Here is a 24,621-nt window from a genome sequence, read left to right on the forward strand (position 1 = left end):
ATCTATTGCTGTGTAACAAATCCTCTGAAATTTAACAGAGTGAAAAAGCAACAAACATTTATTTTCTCACCCCGTTTCTGTTAGTGAGAAACTGGGGAATGGCTTAGTTGAGTAACTAGGGACCTCATACAAGGTTCGGATGTCAAATGGGGCTGCAGTCAGCCAAAGACCTGACTGGATAGAGGATCCCCTGCCACGCTGGCTCACTCTGATGGCTGGCAAGTCAGTGCTGGGTGTAGTGAGAAACCTCAGCTCCCCAGCACGTGGCCCTCTCTAGAGGACAGCTTGAGTATCCTTACAACATGGCGGCTGTGAGAGCAAGGCAGACACCTCAGCATCTTTTAAAACCTTCCTCGAAAGTCACAATATCCTGTCATTTCCACAATATCCCTGTTGGTGTCACAGGTCATCTCTATTCGATGTGGGAGAATCTACAGAAGAAAATGAACACCAAGTGATGGGGATCACTGGGGGTCCCCCGAAGGCTGACCACCACTCTCAGCAAATATTTTTCATTTGAAAGGGTACAAAGCCAAATATCCCCAAATCTGAAGCTTGATAGTTTGTAAACTACTCCAATGCACTGAATAAAGGGCAGGAAGTAAACTTTTACATTTCCTATGCAGAAGAAGATGGATTTCACTTTTTTTTTTTTTTTGGCAAGAAATCTGACAGTTTGGGGGCTGATGGTGTTTTTTGTTTTTGTTGTTTTTGTTTTTGTTTTGTTTTGTTTTTTAAACAGGCAGCCTCCTCAGCTCAGATTAGGCTCTGAGAGACTCCGTAGCATCTTTTTTGAGATTCCAAAAATGAAATTACATTTCATAACTAAAGAGTGAAGAACAACAGCGTGGATAGAAACAATGGGGGGCTGTGGCAGAAAGTTGTTATTCAAAGGCTCTGAAGTTTTCCTCTTGAGAGTCCTTGGGTTTTATTAATTGTCACAGAATAATAAGCTCCATTCAATGAAGAGTTTTCTTGCCCTTCTACTTCTGACACTAACTGTCATCATAGAATAATGCTAAACTACCTTTTGTTTTGTTTTGTTTCACTTTGCCTTCTGGAATGCCCAAAATGACAGCACCCACAGAGTTTCTGGAATTTCCTTATGATCTTCTAACGAGGTAGAGAGCCATAAGTCTAATTATAAAACAATGTTAGCCTTGTTACTGCTAGGTTAGCAACCAGAAACCTGGCAAAGTTCAACAGAGCAGTAGTTTAAAAATATTTATATAAACCTTTGTTTAGTTGCCAAACCCCTGAAGAACAAGTGGATTTTTCCACAAGGTGCATCGACACCATCTAGTAATATTTTCTAAGCCCTCTGTTCCTCATGAATAATCAAATTCAAGATGAATTTATGAGAGAATCTACCAGTAGCATGTGCCAGACATTTTCCCAGGTTTCTGGGAGGTATCAAGAAAGCAAAGATCTTGCCCTCAAGGAATCAGCAGGTCTCTGCTCAGCGTGGAAAACCTTTTAGGCTGAGCAGTGAGTTGTTATATGCATGCCCCTTAGGAACTTGCAATAAGACATAAAATTGGCAGGCTCAGTGGATGATGCCTTGTAATCCCAGCACTTCGGGAGGCCAAGGAGGGCGGATCACTTGAGGTCAGGAGTTCGAGACCAGCCTGGGCAACACAGTGAAACCTGTCTACTAAAAACACAAAAATTAGCTGGGTATGGTAGCATGTGCCTGTAATCCCAGCTACTCGGGAGGCTGAGACAGGAGAATTGCTTGAATCCGAGAAGCAGAGGTTGCAGTGAGCTGAGATCACGCCACTACACTCCAGACTGGATGACAGAGACAGACTCTGTCTTCAAAAATAAATAAATAAATAAATAATAAAAATACATAAAAGACATAAAATCCTGTGGAACAGGGACTCGATCAGAAGGTCTCTTCCTCACTCTTTCCCTTTTTCCTCCCCTCTCCCCAACCTGGCATTACCTTCCTGGGAGCAGGAATGTTTGTCCTTTCCAATCTTGTCTGTTCAGAGAATAGTTCTAAGTTTTCTCCGAATCCAATCAGCATGCACTGTGAGTCTGCTGAGGCTTCACTCTCAGGTCTTAGACCCTTCATTTTGCCAGTGTTCCAGTTTTGTGGTATAACAGCAACCTGGAGCAAATCTCAGCCCCTGGTGATTTGCACAGCAGGGTCCTACACTGCAGCACAGCCTGGAGAGCCAGGAGCCACTGTCCTGGTGTCAGGAGAGCCACCACCTTTCTGGGAAAGAAGAGCAGCAGAAGCAATGGTTCCTTCTAAATGGGCTCTGCTTCCTACATCCTAGGGCCTTTCTTCTTTTGCTGAGGAAGAAAAGAACATCATCCTACCCCATCCAAACTAAGGACCCACTTGATCGTTTTTATCCTATTTAGATGAGGCAACTCCCCAGTGTCTCCTCCCCGTCCCTCAACTCACTCATAATTCTTTGGAAAGAACAAGACACAATACATAAGCTGCTAGATTTATGAAGCAGATCACTTAGTCTATTCCCTCTTGAATGAAATGTCCAAATTTCCTGAAGGCATCTTTCTACACTACGGACTGACAGTCCTAAAACCTTCCATGTAAAAGCGATTTAAAAGCACTATGAATCCAGGTGTGGTGGCTCACACCTGTATTCCCAACACTAGTTCAAGACCAGCCTGGGCAACATAATGAGACCCCGTCTCTACAAAAATAATAAAATAAAATAGCCAGGTGTGGTGGTGCATGCCTATAGTTCCAGCTGCTCTGAAAGCTGAGGTGAGAGGATTGCTTGAGCCCAGGAGTTTGTGGTTACAGTGAGCTATGATTGTACCACTGCATTTTAGCCTGGGCAACAGAGCAGGTCACTGTCTCAAAAAAAAAAAACAAAAAAAAAAACCCACAAACCCCCCCCCCCCAAAAAACAGCATTATGGATTACATAAATACAAAGATCCACAATTTCCTGGGTCTCCGTATTTCTATTTCTCCCTCCTGTGTCCCTCTTCCCTAGCACAGAGCACACATTTTCTCCACTACCCTTCATCTGTCCATCCCTGGGATCAAAATGACAGTGGACAGCCCACAAGTCCAAAGGCAAGCTTCCGCTGTAGAGCTCTTCTCTTGTAAAATGGAATTAAGTGCAGCTGGGCATGGTGGCTCACACCTGTAATCCCAGCACTTTGGGAGGCTAAGGCAGGTGAATCACGAGGTCAGGAGTTCAAGATCAGCCTGGCCAACATGGTGAAACCCCATCTCTACTAAAAATACAAAAAATAGCTGGGTGTGATGGTGAATTCCTGTAATCCCAGCTACTGGGGAGGCTGAGGCAGGAGAATGGCTTCAACCCACGAGGCAGAGGTTGCAGTGAGCCGAGATCCTGCCACTGAACTCCAGCCTGGGTGATAGAGCAAGACTGTCTCAAAAATAAAATAAAATAAAACAAAATGGAATTAAGTTATCAAAACTTAACATTCCAAAGGAAAAAAGAAAAAGTCTCCAAATAAATAGGGCAATTATCAAAACATGAAGGGTAAATTACTTCATTCTAGTTGAAAAAGAATTATTGGCCGGGCATGGTGGCTCTCACACCTGTAACCCTAGCACTTTGGGAGGCTGAGGCAGGAGAATCCCTTGAGCCTAGGAGTTCAAGACCAGCCCGGTCCACTGTAATTCTGGCTCACACCAGTAATCCCAGCACCTTGGGAGGATCATTTGAGCTCAGGAGTTTGAGACCATCCTGGGCCCCTTAGCAAGACCCTGTCTCTACTAAAATTCTAAAAATTAGCTGTATATGGTGGTGCATGCCTACATTCCTAGCTACTCAGGAGGCTGAGGCAGGAGGATTGCTTGAGCCCAGAAGTTTGAGGCTGCAGTGAGCCGTGATTGCACCACTGCACTCCAGCCTGGGCAACAGAGCAAGACCCTGTCTCTAAAAAACAAACAAACAAACAAACCCAAAGATCATGACTCCTAATGCGGATCCCCTCCCTTCTATTGCTGCGTTCACCCTGGGTTCCAGGGACCTCTTCCTCCCCTAACCCGTTCACTCCTCCTTGCTGGTGCTGGGATGCTTCACCAGTCCCTTGTGGAAGCTCCAAATCTATCTACACTTTTGTAAATAACCCCTTCACAACACTCAATGATGACCCTGTTTGAGGGTATCATCTGTTTCCTGCAGGGACCATGACCATACTTTGCATGACTGATTTTTTTAGCCTGCACATCAATGCATCTAGCATTTCACTCTTTTCCAAATGAAAAGGAAACTACAAAAGAAAATAATAAGCTAACCGCAGAGTGCACAATTTTACATAACTAATAAAATGTATTAGGCATTTTGCTGCAAAGAAAATGAAATAAAGATGTTTTATTATGTACATTAGTTAATGAGGCACAGGAAAGGAATGTTAAGAAAAGCAGGAATGTTTATCTAGTTCATGGTCCATGATAACCACAGATTGCTGCATTTGTAGCCACATGAGTCATTCAAAAGTGATATGAACATGCATACATAACAATTCTTCTGCTTTTAATGAAACATAAGAAACTGTCAAGCTTTGGAAATTAGAAACAAACATATTCAATGCTTTTTGAAAAATCAGGCCTTATTTAAAAAGAAAAATGTTCTATCATCAAATGTATTATGCATTTATTTTTTATCATTTGAAATAATAGCTTATAAATAACATTGGTCCAGAACTAATAAATGAATTTTTACAAGAGCTCTCTCTCCCTTAAATAGGTTTAAATTTGCTTTTCAAAATAAACAGCAAATTTCCTGGATGTAAGGAAGAGAAAGGAGTTTCCAGAATTAAAATCCAATTGCTTTTCTGTTCTATTTTCTTTCTTTTTTTTTTTCAGTAAGAACACAAGGTGAGATCTATCTTAACAAATTGTTCAGTGTACACTGCAGTATTGTTGACTATAGGTGCAATATTGTACCACAAATCTCTAGAGCTTATTCACCTGACTTCACTGAAACTTTATGCCTATTGATTAGTAACTCCCCACTCCCCTCAGCCCCTGGCCACCATCATTTCACTCTTTGGTTCTATGAAGTTGACTATTTTAAATATCCCACATAAATTGAATCCTGCCATATTAGTCTTTCTGTTAATAGTTTATTTCACTTAGCGTAATGTCCTTAAGATTTATCCATGTTGTTGAATAATTGCAGAATTTCCTTCTTTTTAAAAGCTAAATAGTATTCCATTGTATGTGTATATACATTTTCTTTATTCATTTCTCCGCCGATGGACGCTTAGATTGTTTGTGTATCTTGGATATTGTGAATAATGCGGCAATGAACCTGCAAATGCTAATACCTCTTTGGGATCCTGATTTCAATTTTTTTGGATAAATATCCAGAAATAGGGTTGCTAGGTCACATGGCAGTTCTATTTTTACATTTTTTAGGAACACCCATACTGTTTTCCTTAGTGGCTGCACCATTTTGCATTCCCATCAACAGTATGCAAGGGTTCCAATTTGTCCACTTCTTCACCAATATTTGTTGTGTTTTGGTTCTTCAATGATAGCCATCCTGACAGGTGAGAGTTGATATCTCACGGTGGTTTTGATTTGCATTGCCCTGATGATCAGTGATGATGAGCACCTTTTATCCTCTGGGAGCCTCCCATTTCCTCTCATTGATGAGAATTTGCCCATGAGAGGTTAATATCCCTATACTCTCGCAATGTGTCAACTAGCTTCTTTCATTGCTGTTCAAGATGCCAGAGCCCATGCTATTCAGATCCTTGGCCCATTTGTAAAAATTGGGTTTTTTTTTTTTTGCTATTGAGTTATGAATTCCTTACATATTTTAGATGTCAACCCTTATCACATACATCGCTTGCAAATACTTTCTCCCATTTCATAGGTTTTCTTTTCACTCTGTTGATTGTTGCCTTTGCTGTGAGAAGCTTTGTGATTTGATGTAACTTTGCTTATTTTTGTTTTTGTTGCCTGTGTTTTGGGGGTCATATCCATGAAATCATTGACAAGACCAATGTCAAAGAGCTTTTCGCCTATGTTTTCTTCTAGGAGTTTTACAGCTTCAGATTTTATGTTTAAATCTTTAATCCATTTTGAGTTGGGTTTTGTATGTGATGTAAGATAAAAGTCCAGTTTCCCCCTTTTGCACATGGATATCTGATTTTCTCAATACCATGTGTTGAAGAGACTATCCTTTCCCCATTATGTATTCTTGGCACCATTGTTGAAGATCAGTTGACAATATACATGTGAATCTATTTCTGGACTCTCTATTCTGTTCCATTCACATATATGTCTATCTGTTGGCCAGTAACATACTGTTTTGATTACTGTAGTTTTGTTATACATTCTGAAATCAAGCAATGTGATGCCTCTATCTTTGTTCTTCTTTCTCAAGATTGATATGGCTATTCATGGTCTTTTGTGGTTTCATATGGACTGTAGAATTGTTTTGTCCCTGTCTTCAGATGACATCGTCTCATATATAGAACGCCCTAAGACTCCATTTTTTAAACATGTTAGAATAAAGGAATTCAATAAAGTTGCATAATACAAAATCAACATACAAAAATCAGTTGCGATTTCTATACATTAACACAGAACTATCTAAAAAGGAAATTAGCGAAACAATCCCATATATAATAGCACCCAAAATAATAAAATACTTGGGAATAAACTTAACTAAGGAGGTGAAAGACTTGTATACTGAAAACTACAAAATACTGATGAAATAAATTAAAGAAGACACAAACAAATGGAAAGACATTTCATTCCTGGGCTGTAAGACTTAATATTGCTATTCTCCTTTTATAGAAAAATAAACAAACTCAAGTATGCAGAGTTAAGTTAATCATAATCTTTGATTCATTATACATCATCATCAGTCCACACATATCCCTCTTTTATTTCATTTCATTTTGAAAATAATAAAAGGAACACCCCATGTACCCATTATCCTAACCAAGAACTAGAATATTACTCATCAGTCACAAATCTTGTATGCTTCCCCACATTTTCTCAGCACCACCTACGTCTTAGACCTCAGCCATTTGCCTTGCCTTAGCCCCAGCCTGTGCCTGACCAACTCACCTAGGCTACCAAGTTCCCTTCTAGGCTGATTAGAGTTGGTTATCCCCTTGACTGTCAACTCTGCAGCTGGGCCAACCATACACACCCAGAGTTCCTAGTTCCTCCTGCCCTTTATGGACTCTGACAAAAGGCCACACTGCAGGGCATAGGCTTGGCATCTTGAACAGCAACAAAAGAAGGTAACACATTGTGAAAGTATAGGGACATTAACTTCTCATGGAAAAATTCTCACTATTAGGAGACAGGAAATGGGAGGCTCCCAGAGGATAAATTTCTTCTTCCCTTCCTCTCGTCTCTGGACTATACCTTACAGCTTTCCAGAGAAGTTTCACTGAGTGGGACACAATTGCCTAGTGCCCCGTTGTGTCTCTGTTTGGCTCATTTTGAAGTGATAGTCAGCAAGGCTGTGCATCATTTTGTGTATTAGTTTGTTGGGGCTGCCATAACAAAATACCACAGACTGGGTAGCTTAAACAACAGAAATGTGTCTTCTCACAGCTCTGCAGGTGGAAGACTGATCAAGGTGTCAGCAGCACTGGTTTCTTCTGAGGCTTTTTTTTTTTTTTTTTTTTGAGATGGAGTCTCACTCTGTTGCCCAGGCTGGAGTGCAGTGGCTCCATCTCGGCTCACTGCAACCTCCACCTCCCGGGTTCAAGTGATTCTCCTGCCTCAGCCTCCCAAGTAGCTGGGATTACAGGCACATGCCACCACGCCCAGCTAATTTTTATATTTTTAGTAGAGAGAGGGTTTCACCATTCTGGCCAGGCTGGTCTCGAACTCCTGACCTCAAGTGATTTGCCCACCTTGGCCTCCCAAACTGCTAGGATTACAAGCGGGAGCCATCGCGCCCGGCCTGACGCCTCTTTCTTTAGTGTGTAGCTGGTTTTCTTCTCCCCGACTTCACATGGTCTTTCCTCCATGTGCATACATATCTGTGTCCACATGTCCTTGATTGAGCCCACCATAATGACTGCATTTTAACTGAATCACTTTTTTTCTTTTTTTGAGACGGGGTCTCACTCTGTCACCCAGGCTGGAGTGCAGTGGCACAATCTCGGCTCACTGCAAGCTCCACCTCCTGGGTTCACACCATTCTCCTCCCTCAACTTCCCAAGTAGCTGAGACTACAGGCGCCTGCCACCACAACTGGCTAATTTTTTGTATTTTTAGTAGAGACAGGGTTTCATCGTGTTAGCCAGGATAGTCTCAATCTCCTGACCTCATGATCCGCCTGCCTCGGCCTCCCAAAGTGCTGGGATTACAGGCGTGAGCAATCAGGCCCAGCCTGAATCACTTCTTTAAAGACCGAATCTCCAAATACAGTTACATTCTGAGGTACTGGGGTTAGGACTTCAATATGTGAATTTGGAGAGAACGTAATTTAGTTCATGCCATTTTGTGTCACTTTGTGTCTTCTTTTGCTTCCCTTCTCTTTTTTCTCACCTCGCCTTGGGCTTGTATCTTCCAAATAAAACACCAATAGTTTCATCCTTGACACCAGCTCTGTAGAGATTTGGGCTAATGCAACTCTCTGTCACATACCTGTAGCTTCCTTCCTTTCCCACAATCTTGCTGCCCCGTCACAGGTAACCAACATCCTAAACTTGGTCTTTTCACATAAGTGTTGTGTCTAAATTATATATTTTTCAGTTTTACCTGTTTCTGAATGTTTAAAAAGAATGTAGCTGGGCATGGTGGCTCATGCCTGTAATCCCAGCACTTTGGAAGGCTGAGGCAGGCGGATCATGAGGTCAAGAGACAGAGACCATCCTGGCCAACATGGTGAAACCCCGTCACTATTAAAAATACAAAAATTAGCTTGGTGTGGTGGTGCGCACCTGTAGTCCCAGCTACTCGGGCAGCTGAGGCAGGAGAATCGCTCGAACCTGGGAGGTGGAGGTTGCAGTGAGCCGAGATGGAGCCACTGCACTCCAGCCTGGGCAACAGAGAGAGACTCCATCTCAAAAAAAAAAAAAGAGTGTACCATTATATGTTGTCTTCTGATGCTTTTTCCCACTCAGCACTATATTAATAAAATCCATCTCTTTGATATGAATAGCTGTAATTTATTCATTTTTACTTGCTGCAGAATATTCCATGGTAAGAATATACCACATGTAAACCTTTTTTTGCCAACAGACATTGGGCTGTGTTCTACAAAGGCAGATGGCCAAACAGCACACATAACAGGCACCCTAGAGACCCTCTGCTGGGGATGCCTTGAGAAAAAGCAGTAGAAGGAGTGCAGGTCCCCTGCTGTCAATTTCATCTGGGGCACTAAACAGATGGCTAAAGGAGCCCACCCTCAGAATCCAAAAGAGGGTCCCGAAACCTTGTGGGGATTGTAAGCTCTATGATGAAGGAGGCACCAGCCTCTCTATTGGCATCATCAGAGGTTGTGTTTGCAGCTAGGCAACACTGCAAACTAGCAGCAGGATTTGCTTCATTAGCATCGATGTTTGGGGAACAAGGAGCCCTTGCCTCCCCTGACGGCAGCAGCAGAATGGGGTCTAAGCCTTGCATTTGATGAGACTTCACTGCCCTAAGTCATGGGTCATTGCCAGTTTCCATGGAGCTCCACAAGAGCCTGACTTCTTTTCTGGGAAACCAACTTCTAGAACACTTTGAAATGTTAGCATTGTCCTCTGAGGTAGTTAGTGGTTTGTTTGTTTGTTTGTTTGTTTGGAGATGGAGTCTCATTCTGTCGCCCAGGCTGGAGTACAGTGGCACAATCTCAGCTCACTGCAACCTCCACCTCCGGGGTTCAAGCGATTCTCCCACCTCAGCCTCCCAAGTAGCTGGGATTACAGGTGCCCGCCACCACGCCTGGCTAATTTTTGTATTTTTAGTAGAGATGGGGTTTCACCATGTTGGCCAGTCTGGTCTCGAACCCCTGACCTCAAGTGATCCACCTGCCTTGGCCTCCCAAAGTGCTGGGATTGTAGGTGTGAGCCACTGCACCCACCTACTTAGTGTTTCTAATCCCCAGGATATATATCTAGGAATGAAACTGCTGAGTCATAGGGTATGTGAATACTCACTGCTAATTTAACCTCATACACATAATATACCAGATCCCACTGATCGTTCTAGGATATCCTCCAAGTATTTTCTAATCATTTCAGTTTTGCCAGTCAGGTAGAGAGCAGCATCTCCCTGTGATTTTGACTTCACTTTCCCTGCTCGCTAGTGAAAATCGCTTCACATGCATATGGACCATCTGATTCTCTTTTGCAAAATGCCTTTTCGCTCGTTTTTGTGTTGATTTGTCATTCTCTTGCCAATTTGTAATAATTATATGTATATATTCTTACTGCTAACCCTTAGGACTTTTTAATCTTCTCCCAATTTGTAACTTTTTAAAAATTTTCTTTAAGGTGTCCTATGATGAGGAAAAGTTCTAAGCTTTAGCGTAGCTGAATTTATTAGTCTTTTCTTTTGTACTCAGCCCTTTTACTGTCTTCTATAAGAAATCTTTCCCTATCCAAGGTTACAAAAACAAATTTCAAAATGATTCATAGATCAAATAATAAATCATAATAGAAATTAAAAATTAGTTAGAATTAAAGAGTAATGAAAATGCCATATACCAAGCCTTGCAAAACATGGCAAAATAAATGTTTTGGGGAAAATGTAGTCTTGAGTATTAATATTAGAAAAGAGTTGTAAATTAATAAGCTAAATATCCAACTTAAGAAACATGTCAGAGACCACTCATCCTGACCAATATCACTCTCCCAACCTTCCTTGAAGTTGCAGTGGCTGTGATTGTCATTTCTTTTCTTTTGTGAGATGAGGGTTTTGCTTTGTCATCCAGACTGGAGTGCAGTGGTGTAAACCTGGTTTACTGTAACCTCAAACTCCTGGGCTCCAGCGATTATCCCACCTCAGCCTCCCAAATAGCTGGGACCACAGGTGTACACCACCAAGCCTGGTTGTTATATTTTTTTGAAAGATAGGGTCTCACTATGGTGCCCAGCTGGTCTTGAACTTCTGGTCTCAAGCAATCCTCCCAGCTCAATCTCCCAATTGTTGGGTTTCTGACTGTTAGCCACCACACATGGCCTTATTATTGTCACTTCTAGGCCAGGTTGGTTGAGTATTCACTTTCCTGGGACCCATCTCCCAATTTACCAGGTGGATAATGCCTGGGTCACCTTGAAGTCCAAAATTGGAGACACCATAACCACGCTGGAGACACCAGGAGCAACCCAAGTCCCTGAGTCACTAGCTAGAGGACAGCCACAGAGCATTACCCAACCTGGAACATCCAAAGTGGACGTTGATGAGGAAAATGTAAACTCTTAGTGTGTAAAGTCACTGAGATTTGGGGGTTGTTTGTTATAGCATGAGCCTAATACAAGAAGTAAAAAAAAAAAAAAAAAAAAAGAAGAATTCCAAAGGAAACAGAAGAAAATAGAAAATAAAAAGCAGAAATCAGTGAAATTGAAAACAAAGAAACAACAGAAAGGCCCAACAAAGGGACCACTGTTCTTTCCTGAACCTTAGGAAAGCCATCAGATAACTGTCCGATTCTGTTCTTAGTCCTCTTGCCAAGTCTATTTTCCTCTCCCCACGCTGTTCACAAGAAGAGCATATAGAGAACCTGCATATATAAAGCTGTGTGGGTTGGATTCTTTGTTGCTTATACCTCCAATGGCCAAATACATTTTCTTTCGTCACAGGAACTAAAGGAAAGAGATGGTCTGAGCACAGAGAATGAATCTAGGAGAGAGGTGACTGGTTTGGGCTGCATCAGGAAAATGCGAAGGCTAAAGACCAGAGCAAGAGACCAAAATGCAGGGAGTACAGGTGGAAAAGGTCAAGTGGAACGGAGGTGCCCAGGGCAGGAGAGCAGGGCTTCCTGGCAAGCTTAGGACGCGTGCTCCCCCTGCAAGGAGAGAAGGAAAAAGTAAGAGTTTTCTTATTTGCATGCATCAAGTATTTTCCATTGCCAAGAAGAGAATTCAATCCCATTTCCCATGTAATGAGTGAAGGGTAGTCTATGTTTCCAGTTAATTCTACAAGAGTGCTTTTGAAAAAAGTACTCCAAAGAATTGGGAAAATGATCATACAGAGCCCTGGTAACAGTCATCATCATCATCCATTGCTGTTTACAAAGGAGACTCTGTATTTAACCACCCAGGATCTCTTTATTTTAATTTGTTTTCTTTGTTGAACTGCATCATAATTGAGTATCTCCTGCTACTTGTTATCTTTTTGCAGTGCAGGATGTGTGGGGGAGCAGAATTTCCACTTGTTTTCTTTCATCAACAAAGTAGAACATCACAGACTCAGATGAGCCCTATGTAGCAATATGCAAAGGACATTACTTGAAAACTCAACTTTCTTGTTCTCAGACTTTTATTAATGCAGTTTGTTGTCTCCAAAAGAGCAGCAACAATATTCTCAGTGGTTCTACCACTCAACCCCTTGGGATGAAGGTTCTTAGTAATATTTCACTATTTAGTCTACAGCCTATATATGCATGTACGTTTTGTTTGTTTGAGATGGAGTCTCACTCTGTCACCAGGCTGGAGTGCAGTGGTGCAATCTGGGCTTACTGCAGCCTCTACCTCTCAGGCTCAAGAGATCCTCCCATCTCAGCCTCCTGAGTAGCTGGGACTACAGGTGCACACCACCACACTCGGTTAATTTTGTTTGTTTGGAGGCAGGGTTTCACCATGTTGTCCAGGCTGGTCTCAAACTCCTGGGCTCAAGCAATCCACCGGCCTCAGCCTCCCAAAATGCTGAGATTACAGGCATGAGCCAACTGTGCCCAGCCAGCCTTAGTATTTATAGACCTGGTTTCCTCAGGTCCAAATCCCTCTCCTTCAATCAAATGTTATACAACTGCAACTGTCCTCCACGTCGCCTCCATTTATAGAGCATTCTATGACCTTACCTCCCCACCATTAACTTTTCCCTGGCTAATTTGAAACTGCCTGTACGAGCTTTAAATGAGTTCTTTGTGGACTTCGGAAAGTGCTTACATTCTCAGCAGTTCCTGTAATCCTGTAACCAAAGAAGCGTTGTTGATGGCCAAGGCTTATTCTTCCTACAAATATGATTGAGTTCTGACACCTGGTATAATGTTTTCTTTAAAATGAGAGCCAATGTAATAAAATTCTTTATGGAATAGTCTGCAAAATGCTTTAATATATTAATAAAATTAAAACAATTTTCACAGAAAATTTTAATAATTTTTTCTAACTTCTTTTCTGATTGCACAGTTAATTTTACCATCTAGTTACTTCAATAATATTTTCTCTGCCTACAGAGCAAATATAAGGGTAAATTATACAGACCCTGCTTTAGAAAGGCTCACAATTCAAGCTGGTCTAACACGATGAGTCAATGCTATGGAAAAACAGAAGAGACCAGTTAATTCTATTCAGAGTAAGATCAAGGAGGACCTCATATGGATGACCTTGGGACTTACTGGGGTAACTAGACCGAGAAGGATGAGTCCATTATCAGGATTTAAGAATCCAGAACTAAGTGCTAAGTAAGGGGTTTAAGGAAAGCATCAGCAAAAATTCACTAATTGTTTTCTTTTTTTTTTTTTTTTGAGACGGAGTCTCGCTCTGTCTCCCAGGCTGGAGTGCAGTGGCGCAATCTCGGCTCACTGCAAGTTGCGCCTCCCGGGTTCACGCCATTCTCCTGCCTCAACCTCCCGAGTAGCTGGGACTACAGGCGCCCGCCACCACGCCCGGCTAATTTTTTTTTTTTTATATTTTTAGTAGAGACGGGGTTTCACCGTGTTAGCCAGGATGGTCTCGATCTCCTGACCTTGTGATCCACCTGCCTCAGCCTCCCAAAGTGCTGGGATTACAGGCGTGACCCACCGCGCCCGGCCTCACTAATTGTTAGTTTAAATTACCACCTACATGAAGTCTTATACCCTGGCTTTGTATTTTATGTTGGCTAAAGAGAATGATTCAATAAGACTATAGGATAAAGGCACCATTAAAGGTGCTTCAGTGGCATTCTTTCATTGAGGAGAAATCTGCAGAAGGGTAGCACTTTCTAGTAAAACATAGTACTCTAAACACGGTTAGCTTACATGTTCTTCCATTTATTTAAGTGCCTTAAAAACAAAAGGAGAAGCAAAACCCTGAAAGATCTTGGTTTAATTCTTTTCTTCTCTAAAAGTAGGTTTCTGTTTTTTGGAGGGGATTTAATTGCTCATCTGATCTGAATGCCCATGACCAGCTCTTGTTTATCATTGGCATGGCCATGAACACAAACAATATAAAATGCCAATTTAACCAATCCACCATGCTTGTTTTTTCTTTTTTCCTAGGAATTAACAGTGGCAGGCCCTGGAAATAGATGGGTAAGAGCAAATCTGTGGTCATCAACTAGGTGCACAGTCCAGTGGGTGTGTGAGATGCATGCACAGGGCAGACAGTAGAGCCTGCAACTGTGATGGAATTAACAGGGTAGGCCCTGCAAACAGATGAGTAAAAGCAAATCTGCGGCCATCACTAGGTGCACAGTGCAGTGGGGGTGTGTGAGATGCACAGGGCAGACAGTACAGCCTGCAACTGTGATGGAATTAACAGGGTAGGCCCTGGAAGATGAGTAAAAGCAAATCTGCGGCCATCACTAGGTGCACAGTGCAGTGGGGGTGTGTGAGATGCACAGGGCAGACAGTACAGCCTGCAACTGTGGCGCAGGCGCAGAACAGGATTGAATTTCGCTAAAAAGACAAAGGAAGAAAAAGTATGGTCTCTGTCCTCAGGGCATTGCAACCCATTAGGCTGAATCATATGAACTGCAGATTATGCAGGTAAAATATGGCCACATATCCACACCTTCACAGGGCTCTGCCTGACACACGGAGGACACAATCACAAGAGCCAAAGCAGGGAAGGGGCAGGGAAAAAGTGGACACAACCCCACCCCAGTCCAGTGGTGCGGATCAATAAATCGAGACTTACGGCCAATCTGAAATAGATTCTATTCATGAAAGTCCTTCCAGAAACAACATTCAGGATGACGGCATCAGTGTTAGCCAAGTGTCTGAGTGGTCTGGGTGTCACATCTGTGTGTGTGCCCAAATGGATGAAATTTATGCACAACCAATAAGCCCCACAAAAGTGATTGTTATGCTGAGCCGAACAACCATTTTTTACTTCCCTTTGTCTCTCCCATAGCTTCTCTTTCCTTTTCACTTCCTGGACCTACCAAAGCCTTGGCCTTGGGTGGGGAGGCATCCAGTGACTGTCCTTTTCAGCTTCAACAATGGCAACACAATCTCTTGGCTTTGTATTTGTGTAAGAGTTCCTTTTCACGATGAGAATGTCCAAAATAGATACCATTCTACATTATTCCTTTATTTAAAACCACAGGAAACATAGAAACGAGTTTGAGGAATACCACTTCAAGATGGGAATGGGAGGCAAAAATAATTCAGCCAACTAGGAGGTGGGCAAAATGCTCCGATTCCCTTTGTTTTCATATACGATTTCATTGAAGGAAGTGGAAGGGATTTAATAGAAAAGATATGATGATGACAAATCAAGTCAATATTGAAAGAATACTCTAGGCGGGGCGCAGTGGCTCACGCCTGTAATCCCAACACTTTGGGAGGCTGAGGTGAGCGGATCACCTGAGGTCGGGAGTTCGAGACCAGCCTGACCAACACGAAGAAACCCCATCTACTAAAAATACAAAATTAGCCGGGTGTGGTGGCACATGCCTGTAATCCCAGCTACTTGGGAGTCTGAGGCAGGAGAATCACTTGAACCCAGTAGGCGGAAGTTGCGGTGAGCCAAGATCGTACCATTGCACTCCAGCCTGGGCAACAAGACTGAAACTCCGTCTCAAAAAAAAAAAAAAAAGTGTGTCCAATCACAGACTTTTGTCATTTCTTGAGTTCTGAATCGGCTAAAACATCCGAGTGAGTTTTCTAACAGTAAAAGCTGCATCTCTAGGCCACTGACCACACTGCAGCCCTCTGACAGTGTCACACTGGCATTATTTTGCTGCTTATGGACAAAAGAATGAGCAATTTCCTGTTGGCCAGCTCTGAATACCTTATTCACTAGAGGCTGAGATGGAGTCAGTACTGCTACTACAGGAACACGAGTCAACATCTCTTAAATGCTGTGTGCCAGACTATGCGAAGAAAGGGCCTTAAAAACATTATCTCATTTAATCACCATAAGCCTTCGAAGTAGATGCTAGTATTATCCCCATTTCATAGATAACTGAGGAGTGGAGAGGTCAGTCACCTGCTTCAAGTCACAGATCCCATAAGTGGCAAAGTGAGACAGCTGGATGATCCAACTTCAAAAGCTGAGCCCCCGCCTGCTTCTATCTGCTTGATGCAAATTCCCAAAAGTCAAAGGCTTCTAAATTCGCGCTAATTCCTCAAATCCCTCCTCTTATCCTGGTGCAGCCTCAGTTGGAGTGACAGGAAGTTTAGATATGAGTAAGAAAACGGAACCTGACACTGAGTTAAAAGGACAATTTCTTCCTTCAGAGACAATCTTACTTTATATTAAACTTCATTTCTGAAGCTCCCTGATTCTCTAAAATAATCAAAATGTTCAGCCCAAGATATGTCAAAATGGTGAAGAAATATCTTAAAATCCAGTTTTCACCCCTCTAACAATAAAGTTAAATCCTCCCCTTTAATGGGTCTAGTCAGTGGAAGAACATTTCTCTCATTTTAATCATTTTTCTCCTGATATTTTCTCTCCTTTTAATCATTTCTTCACAAACATCTGAATGTTTATGCTCCAGGCAAGAGGAGAGAAAATGATGAGAATATCCTTATCCCTGGGTGTGAGGAGTAATTACTCTACTGCCCTTTTAAATACCTTTGAGGTTTATTTCTTAATTTTTTTCCTCCAACTTCAGTTTCACAACTTCTTCATGAAACAAGGAGCTTGGTAAAGGAGGCCAGCAAGTAACAGGTTGGCTGTGAGCGTGACATGAATGCTCAGGCTGTAAACTGTCTTCCTCAGAGAGCAGTGACTCCAATGGTCAGTGACATGCAGGAGGAAACGCAGGATTAGGACCGACTTTCCTTAGGTGTAGCCTCACGTTTTAATCCCTGAGGTATGTTGTAAATGGGCAGCGCATGAACAGGTGATCAACTCAGAAGACGAGCTTCATAAAGGTTGCCATAGAACTTTAGAATATGCCTATGGATGGCCAAGTCACAACCAGAATTGAGTCCTTAATCACTGACCCCATGTGTATTTCTATGGAAGGGGAGTGCAGTATGTGGCCCAAAGGTTCTGAAAAACTGTGTGTGACAGTCTCCTGGCTGTGTAGCATTTTTTGTTGCTTATAGACAAAATTTCTCTCCTCTATCCAAATCAGTAGGCCATAGGCCATTATTTAAGACAAACTTTTGAGTATAAAAAATTTGTCTTTTACATACACAAATGCACACATATATAGGGTTTGGGACAGACTCCACACCCCTAAAACTAGAGGAAAAACAAGGCCCTCTAGCAGGTCTGAACATGATGTAATCACTTTTTCCTTTACTTATGTAAAAGGTACCCTTTGTCAAATTAGCACACTTCTGGCAATAATTCTGGCCCCAAATAAATAGAAACTTTAAGTTGAAACTTGGCAATTGTGAAATTTCCAAATAATTAAAAGGTAAATTTTACAGTAAAGAGACTAATTTTTTTCTAATTCCATATGCTATAGGCTACAAAATATATATTTAAATTCCCTTAGGTATTACCAAATGTGTGTTGAGGTCCTCAACTGGGGTTGAGGGACCCTAACTAGGGGTTAATACATCATGCAAAATTTTCCACGTATTGGAAGAAACATCAGAAATCAGCTTTTGTGTGCTCCTTAAGCCAGTTTTAAAATAGATTTTAAAATATTCACCTTCCAGCTGATTAGCATGAAAGGTTTGAAAAATATACAAAAGCAGAGTGCTATGGATTGCATGTTTATGTCCTCCCAAAATTCATCTGTTGAAACCCTAATCTCCAAAGCAATGGTATTAGGAGGCGGAGCTAATACCATAAGTGGGCCTTTGGGAAGTGAGTAGGTCCTGAGGGTGGAGCCCTCATGAATATTAGCGCCCTCACAAGAAGGGAAAGGAGAGCTTGCTTGCTTCCTTTCTCTCTCTCTGCCATGTAAGGATGCAATGGGAAGATGATGGCTATCAGCAAACCAGGGTAAGGGTGCTCACCAGGAACTCACCTTGATCTTGGACTTCCCAGCCTCCAGAACGGTGAGAAATTTCTGTCATTTAAGCTACCCAGTGTATGGTATTTTGTTATTGCAGCCTGAGCTGATTAAGACACAGAGTAACTCACAAAATAAATAACATCAAGTATCACTGGCCAAGCCAATGAGCAGTCATACCAAAAGTAGTTTACTTTTAAGATGTCCATCTTCCACAGAATCTCCAAGGAAGTAGCTTGCAGTAGTCTCATCCCCACGGAAATGATGCAGTGATTTTATGCACAAGGGTAGGAGCAAAATGTGAACTAATGGTCTACAAAACTAATCTCATCTACAATAGAAGAAAACAAGTCAGGCCTACTTCTCCATACCATTCATGCCTATGGTGGCAAAAGGCAGCATGAGTCTCATGCTTTGCTGGTGACATTCAAATGTCAGACAGATTTACTTACTCGAGCTCTTTGGCGGATGAAAAGTTTTGTGTCAATACCTCAGGGTTTGCTGCAATACTAACAACCTAAAGAGGAATGTTCATGGTCTTCCAGGGAAAAAATTAAAAAAAGAAAGCCCACAAAATAGATTCTGAAATTTCAGGTTTGGTGGGGAAAGAACTGAGAGAGAAGCAGAGATAGGAAATGGACAAATATATAGACTGAAATACTACTTAAGGAGGATACAGGATTTCTTTTAAAATACTTGTTCTGAAAGAGATGGTACCCTCCCCCACCTCCGCCCAAGAGGCAGTTCTGGAAATGTGAGCATGTTAGGGGTGCCACTGATGGGCGGCCACTACTGAGATTTAACCTGTTGGAGCATGCGTGATACACAAGCCCTGCAGCTTACAGCCCTCACAACAAAGAGCTGACTCATCAACACAACTTTCAATTGCCCCGCCCAATATTCATATAGATGGGAACTCAGTTTACAATAACAAATCTATGATCTCATTTCATTTTATATATAAACACACAGAATTTTCAGCCCAGTTTTAATATGCTTTGGATTTTTCAAGAATGCAATGAGAGAATTCTATAAATGGAAGGAAGCCTATATACTGAGTGATTATGAGCAAGAAAGCCAGAGCCAGGCTGCTTTCATTTTAATCCCAGCTCTGCCATTATTAGCACATAACCAGGATGACTAGCACATAACCTGGGTAACTCCCTCATATGCAAAACGGGACTAACAGCAGTACTCACCTCATAGATTTATTAGAAAGGTATTAGAACAATGCCAGGCACACAGCAAGCACTATATGAGTGAAGCCATTACAGACTAGGTATGCCTAGAACTTTATCTAAAGAATTGGCCACATTTTAGAAAATCATACTGCTGACATCGACCCCTTTCCTGGTATTGAACTGCCAATGCAGCAGGTCTGAATTGGTAACTACCACATTCATGGTGATTTTTCACATATTTATATTTATACACACACATACAAAGTATGTGCCCTGCTTAGTAGTTTAATTACATCTTGTAATATAACCATGCTAGAATATGTACATATGAAAATAATTATTTCATTATAAAATATCTTATCTGTTTCAGTTAGAACGTCACTGATGGGTATGTTTTAGAGGCTAGTTATATTACCTGCTAGTTTCATTTCAGAATAGTAAATGGAGTGATGTTTTTATGAGTGAAGGTAAGCTTCATCATCCATGATTTTCATTTGAAGATTGAAAAGTGATGCTATAAAATATTATAATAGGGGTAGGTGTTGAGTTGTGTCTGGGAGAGTTTTAACAATCACTCTTGTAAAGTATCCTGTCAAGGAGTTCAAGATCAGCCTGGCCAACATGGTGAAACTCCATCTCTACTAAAAATACAAAAATTAGCCAGGTGTGGTGGCGGGCACCTGTAATCCCAGCTACTTGGGAGGCTGAGGCAGGAGAATTGCCTGAACCTGGGAGGCAGAGGCTGCAGTGAGTTGAGATTGTACCACTGCACTCTAGCCTGGGTGACAGAGTGAGAATCTGTCTCAGAAAAAAAAAAAAATTTTTTTTAAAGAAATAAAAATAAAGAATCCTGTCAAAAAGCATCATCAAGCAACTTCATATGTGAACACACGTCCACAATTAAACCTGGATTACTACTGAGGCAAGCAGTTTCCATTAATTTCTAAGAAATCCATATTAAACTATTATTTATGTATGTCCATAGTAGAGGTTTACAAAGGTTTTTTTTTTTTAGCAGCAATATATTTTTCAAACACAATTCAGGAGAAAACCTCAAATAAAAAGAAAGATGAAGCTGTGGAGGGTGACTGCAAGTAGAGGAGCCAGGAACTTCTCTCGCGGGTCCTGGGACTCCAGGGAACAAAGGCTGAAAAGCACCAATCTGGTTGGCCACTGCCTATAATGAAGACTGACTGCCGAATATTCACTTAAAGGATGGCTGTTCAATTCACAAGTGGCATTTTCCCCACAGAAAAAGAGCTCACCAGCCAGCTAAGGCCTCCAGAGTGATTTAACTCATCATCCAGTGGAACTACAGCTCTTAGAGTTCTCCCCACAATCTGGGGAGTAAGAGGAGATGTTGCCACCCACTTCCTGGGCATAAAGCCAGCTCAAGACAAGAGTAAAACAGGCAGGGCTGGCTCGCCCCTCGTACACAGCTCCCTCCTCATCACCAGTGCCCTACACGAGACCTCCCCAGCCCACACCCCACCCTCCTAGTGTGTTGAACACCCTGTGGTCACACACTGCAAGCCTCTTCTCTCCATCTGCCAAACACCCTTGGGTCTCCATGTCTCCATGAAATACCAGATCTTTTTCTTTTTGTTTTTTTTTTGAGACAGAGTCTCCTTCTGTCACCCAGGCTGGAGTGCAGTGGCCTGATCTTGGCTCACTACAACCTCCGCCTCCAGGGTTCAAGTGATTCTCCTGCCTCAGCCTCCCGAGTAGCTGGGACTACAGGTGCCCACCACCATGCGAAGCTGATTTTTAGTAGAGACAGGGTTTCACCATGTTGGCCAGGCTGGTCTTGAACTCCTGACCCCAGGTAATCCACCCACCTTGGCCCCCCAAAGTTCTGGAATTACAGGCATGAGCCACTGCGCCAGGCCGAAATACCAGATCTTCATGGCAGTTGTCTTAGAGGTAGAGAAGAAAACAGCCAGACTGAGCCGGGTGTGGTGGCTCATGCCTGTAATCCCAGCACTTTGGGAGGCTGAGGCCGGCAGATCAGTTGAGGTTGGGAGTTTGAGACCAGCCTGGCCAACGTAGTGAAACCCCGTCTCCACTAAAAATACAAAAATTAGCCAGGCATGGTGGCGGGCACCTATAATCCCAGCTACATGGGAGGCTGAGGCAGGAGAATCGCTTGAACCTGGAAGGTGGAGGTTGCAGTGAGCTGAGATTGCGCCACTGCACTCCAGCCTGGGTGACAGATTGAGACTCCATCTCAAAAACAAACAAACAAACAAAAAAAACCAGCCTGACTGAATTCAGTCACAGTAATTATACATGAGTGGTTGCTAGTTCCTTTAACCACACCAGAAGCATTTTAAAGGGAAGATGTTTCCTAACTCCAGTGATTTTCATGGGCTGAATTCCAGGCAGTTCAGCAAACTCAACAATTCCGGTGGTATGAGAAAGGGCATTTTGGAGTAGGAGATTTCGGCTCTGCCTAGGAAGATACCTCAGAAAATTCCCCTCGTGCAATTTCACTTTGCATATGCTTCTCCTGTTCTTCCATTTCTAATCCATAAAATCCCAAAATGCTTGGGAGGGTTTATTTTGATTTTTTTTAACAATACTGCCCTGCTGGCAACAGCCACGATAGTCACTTGCTCATCTGAAAATGCCTTGCACTTTCTTTTTCACTAGCTTCGTGTATGACGCAAAACAGAAATATTTCAATTACAGGTGACTAAGAGTAAGAAAAATATACAACTATATTTAAAATACTTAAATTAACAAGATAGTACTTTTCCATTCTAACAAAATATCATACATTCAGTTTAAACAAGAGTTAATATCCAGACACACGTTTTCAAAATACCTGATGCTAGTTGAAAATTAGTGACCATGAGGCTTTCCAAGATATTTCTAATTAGCAAACTGTGTACAATTTTGAAGAAGTGTACACACCGTGCTGGAAGACAGACACTGAACAGGTCAAAATGCAAACTCATGTATCTTTCATCAACCTAAATCTTGTTGCTTCACTTTTCTAAATGATACTTTGGCTGTCAGCGAATCTTATAGCTTCTTTTCCCTTAAAGACAATAATATATAACAACACCACCCCACACAAATAACCATAAACTTCTTTGTGTGAAATAAGCCCTATCAAAATGTGTTCATGTATTTCTGTACCAACTGATCTATACTGAGACTGTCATGAAAAAGGTATCAAACAAGTGTAACAGGCCTACACTTAAACCTCTGCCTCAAAGGAGAAATCAGATACTTGCCACGTTATTGCAAAGTCAAAGCTGCTACACTTAAAATATGGTAGATAGTTTAGAAAAATCAAATCAAAAATGTTTTCTCACTGGCTTTTTCAGATAAAGAAGTTGGACCACAAACCAACACATCTGTGTGAAAACAGCCACCAATTTGAGTCCCCCCAGCCCCTCAAAAAGGAACAATGCCACCAGTCCCTCACAATGACCATAACGTCTCTGGCCAGGACTGCGATTTCTAGCGCGTGTCTTCACATTCTATCTCTGGGGAAGCAAGACAAACAGGCTCTACCCATTTCCCTCCTTTTGTCTCCACAAGCCAGCACCTAAGATCCTCTGAATTTGTTCCCATCCAATCCTGCAAACTTCCAAGAAGGGCAGTAGATAACTTTTCAAAAGAAAAAGAAATTGCATAAGGTCCCTACATAATACTGAGGCTGAAACGAGAAGAGGCTGTCCACTGTAAAAGCAAGGCACTTGGGGCAGGAGCCAGGCAGGTGGCCTGAGCAGGGTCCCTCTCAGTGAGTCAACAGTTTGAGGCGCGTAAACCAGCTGACCAGGAGGGACGGTTCTGTGGACGAGGACTTCGTAGCTGAGGAGCCAGATTTCTTTTTGGTCCCTTCCTCCTGGAATGGAATCGTGGCGCTGCTGTGGAGATCTGAGTTGATGTAGCACCTGCTTCCTCGGATGTAGTCCGCACCCCGGACCAGATGCCGCTCGGTCGTGGGTCTGGAGAACCGGTATGGGGGAGAGGAGCTCTCTTCAATGATCGGAGGAATCCGCTCGTTACTGAAATACCGGCAAAGGGCATCCTCCCCTGTTTCCAGACAAAGTCCATTAAGTCACAATCCCAGCCGGGCGTGGTGGCTCACACCTGTAATCTCCGCACTTTGGGAGGTCGAGGTGGGTGGATCACGAGGTCAAGAGATCTAGACCATCCTGGCCAACATGGTGAAACCCCGTCTCTACTGAAAATACAAAAATTAGCTGGCGTGGTGGCGGGCGCCTGTAGTCCCAGCTACTCAGAGAAACGTTTGAACCCGAGAGGCGGAGGTTGCAGTGAGCCAAGATCGCGCCACTGCACTCCAGGCTGTTGACAGAGCGAGACTCTGTCCCCTCCAGGAAAAAAAAAAAAAAATCACAATCCCCTACACAGTGCTCTTTGGAGGGCCCTCGGCCTGCCCAGACTTCTGCCACCACCCTGAATGTGGGCACCATACCTTTACTGCTCTCCTCCCTGGATTGGCCACAAGGTCCCACCTGTGGCTGGGCCCACCAATGGGTGCTCTGGAAGCAGAAATGGGAAGGGTCCCTCATACTTTAGGCTGCTTTAGCGCCTGAGAGGTAGCACACGGGTCTCCTTTAGTGGGTGGGGACCATAGAGTGTAGTGTCCCCGCGATGGCTGAACAGAACTGTTTATGCATTGTTTAATGCAGGGCATTCAAGCTGGGCATTCAGGAACATTCCCGAACAAGGAAAAGAGTGATCCTGCCCTAACTGCCAGCAGACCCCCTGGGATGTGGCTGGAATGTTAAGAAACTGAATAGAAACTTAAAATACAGTACACTTTGGTAACATGTAGCATCCTTGTGAAGCGGAAATTCTACACCCCAAAATGTGCAAAGATCTATGGACTCACGGATGCTTACTGAAACATTTATTTTTATGCTTATTTTTATTTTTTGAGACAGGGTCTCACTGTCATTCAGGCTGGAGTACAGTGGTGCCATCTCAGCTAGTTGCAGCCTCCATCTCCCAGGCTCAAGCGATCCTCCCACCTCAGCCTCCCAAGTAGCTGGGACTACAGGTGCGCACAACCACACCCAGCCGGTCTCGAAATCCTGAGACCAAGCAATCCACCTGCCTCAGCATCCCAAAGTGTTGGGATTAGAGGCATGAGCCACCACACCTAGCCTACTGAAACCTTTTTCAAATTTTAGAATTTGAATTTTAGAATTTTCTAAATTTTCTAAATTCT

General features: G+C 42.6%; 1 protein-coding gene across 5 annotated transcripts in view; it reads right to left on the minus strand.

Moving 5' to 3' along the window:
* Nucleotides 1–4,321: 4,321 nt before the first annotated feature.
* Nucleotides 4,322–24,621, minus strand: part of CNKSR3 (CNKSR family member 3) — a 123,171-nt gene continuing 102,871 nt past the window's right edge. For 3 of the 5 annotated variants that reach the window (NM_001368116.1, NM_001368118.1, NM_001368119.1), the window contains one exon: nucleotides 22,106–23,459. In NM_001368116.1, coding sequence (NP_001355045.1) covers nucleotides 23,161–23,459 — 299 coding nt within the window. In that variant the 3' untranslated portion in view covers nucleotides 22,106–23,160. Of the gene's footprint in view, nucleotides 23,460–24,621 lie in introns of all 5 variants that reach the window. The other 2 variants (NM_173515.4, NM_001368117.1) reach the window with 2 other exon arrangements.

The sequence above is a fragment of the Homo sapiens genome, chromosome 6 (assembly GCF_000001405.40).
Source record: "Homo sapiens chromosome 6, GRCh38.p14 Primary Assembly".
Classification (NCBI taxonomy): Eukaryota; Metazoa; Chordata; class Mammalia; order Primates; family Hominidae; genus Homo; species Homo sapiens.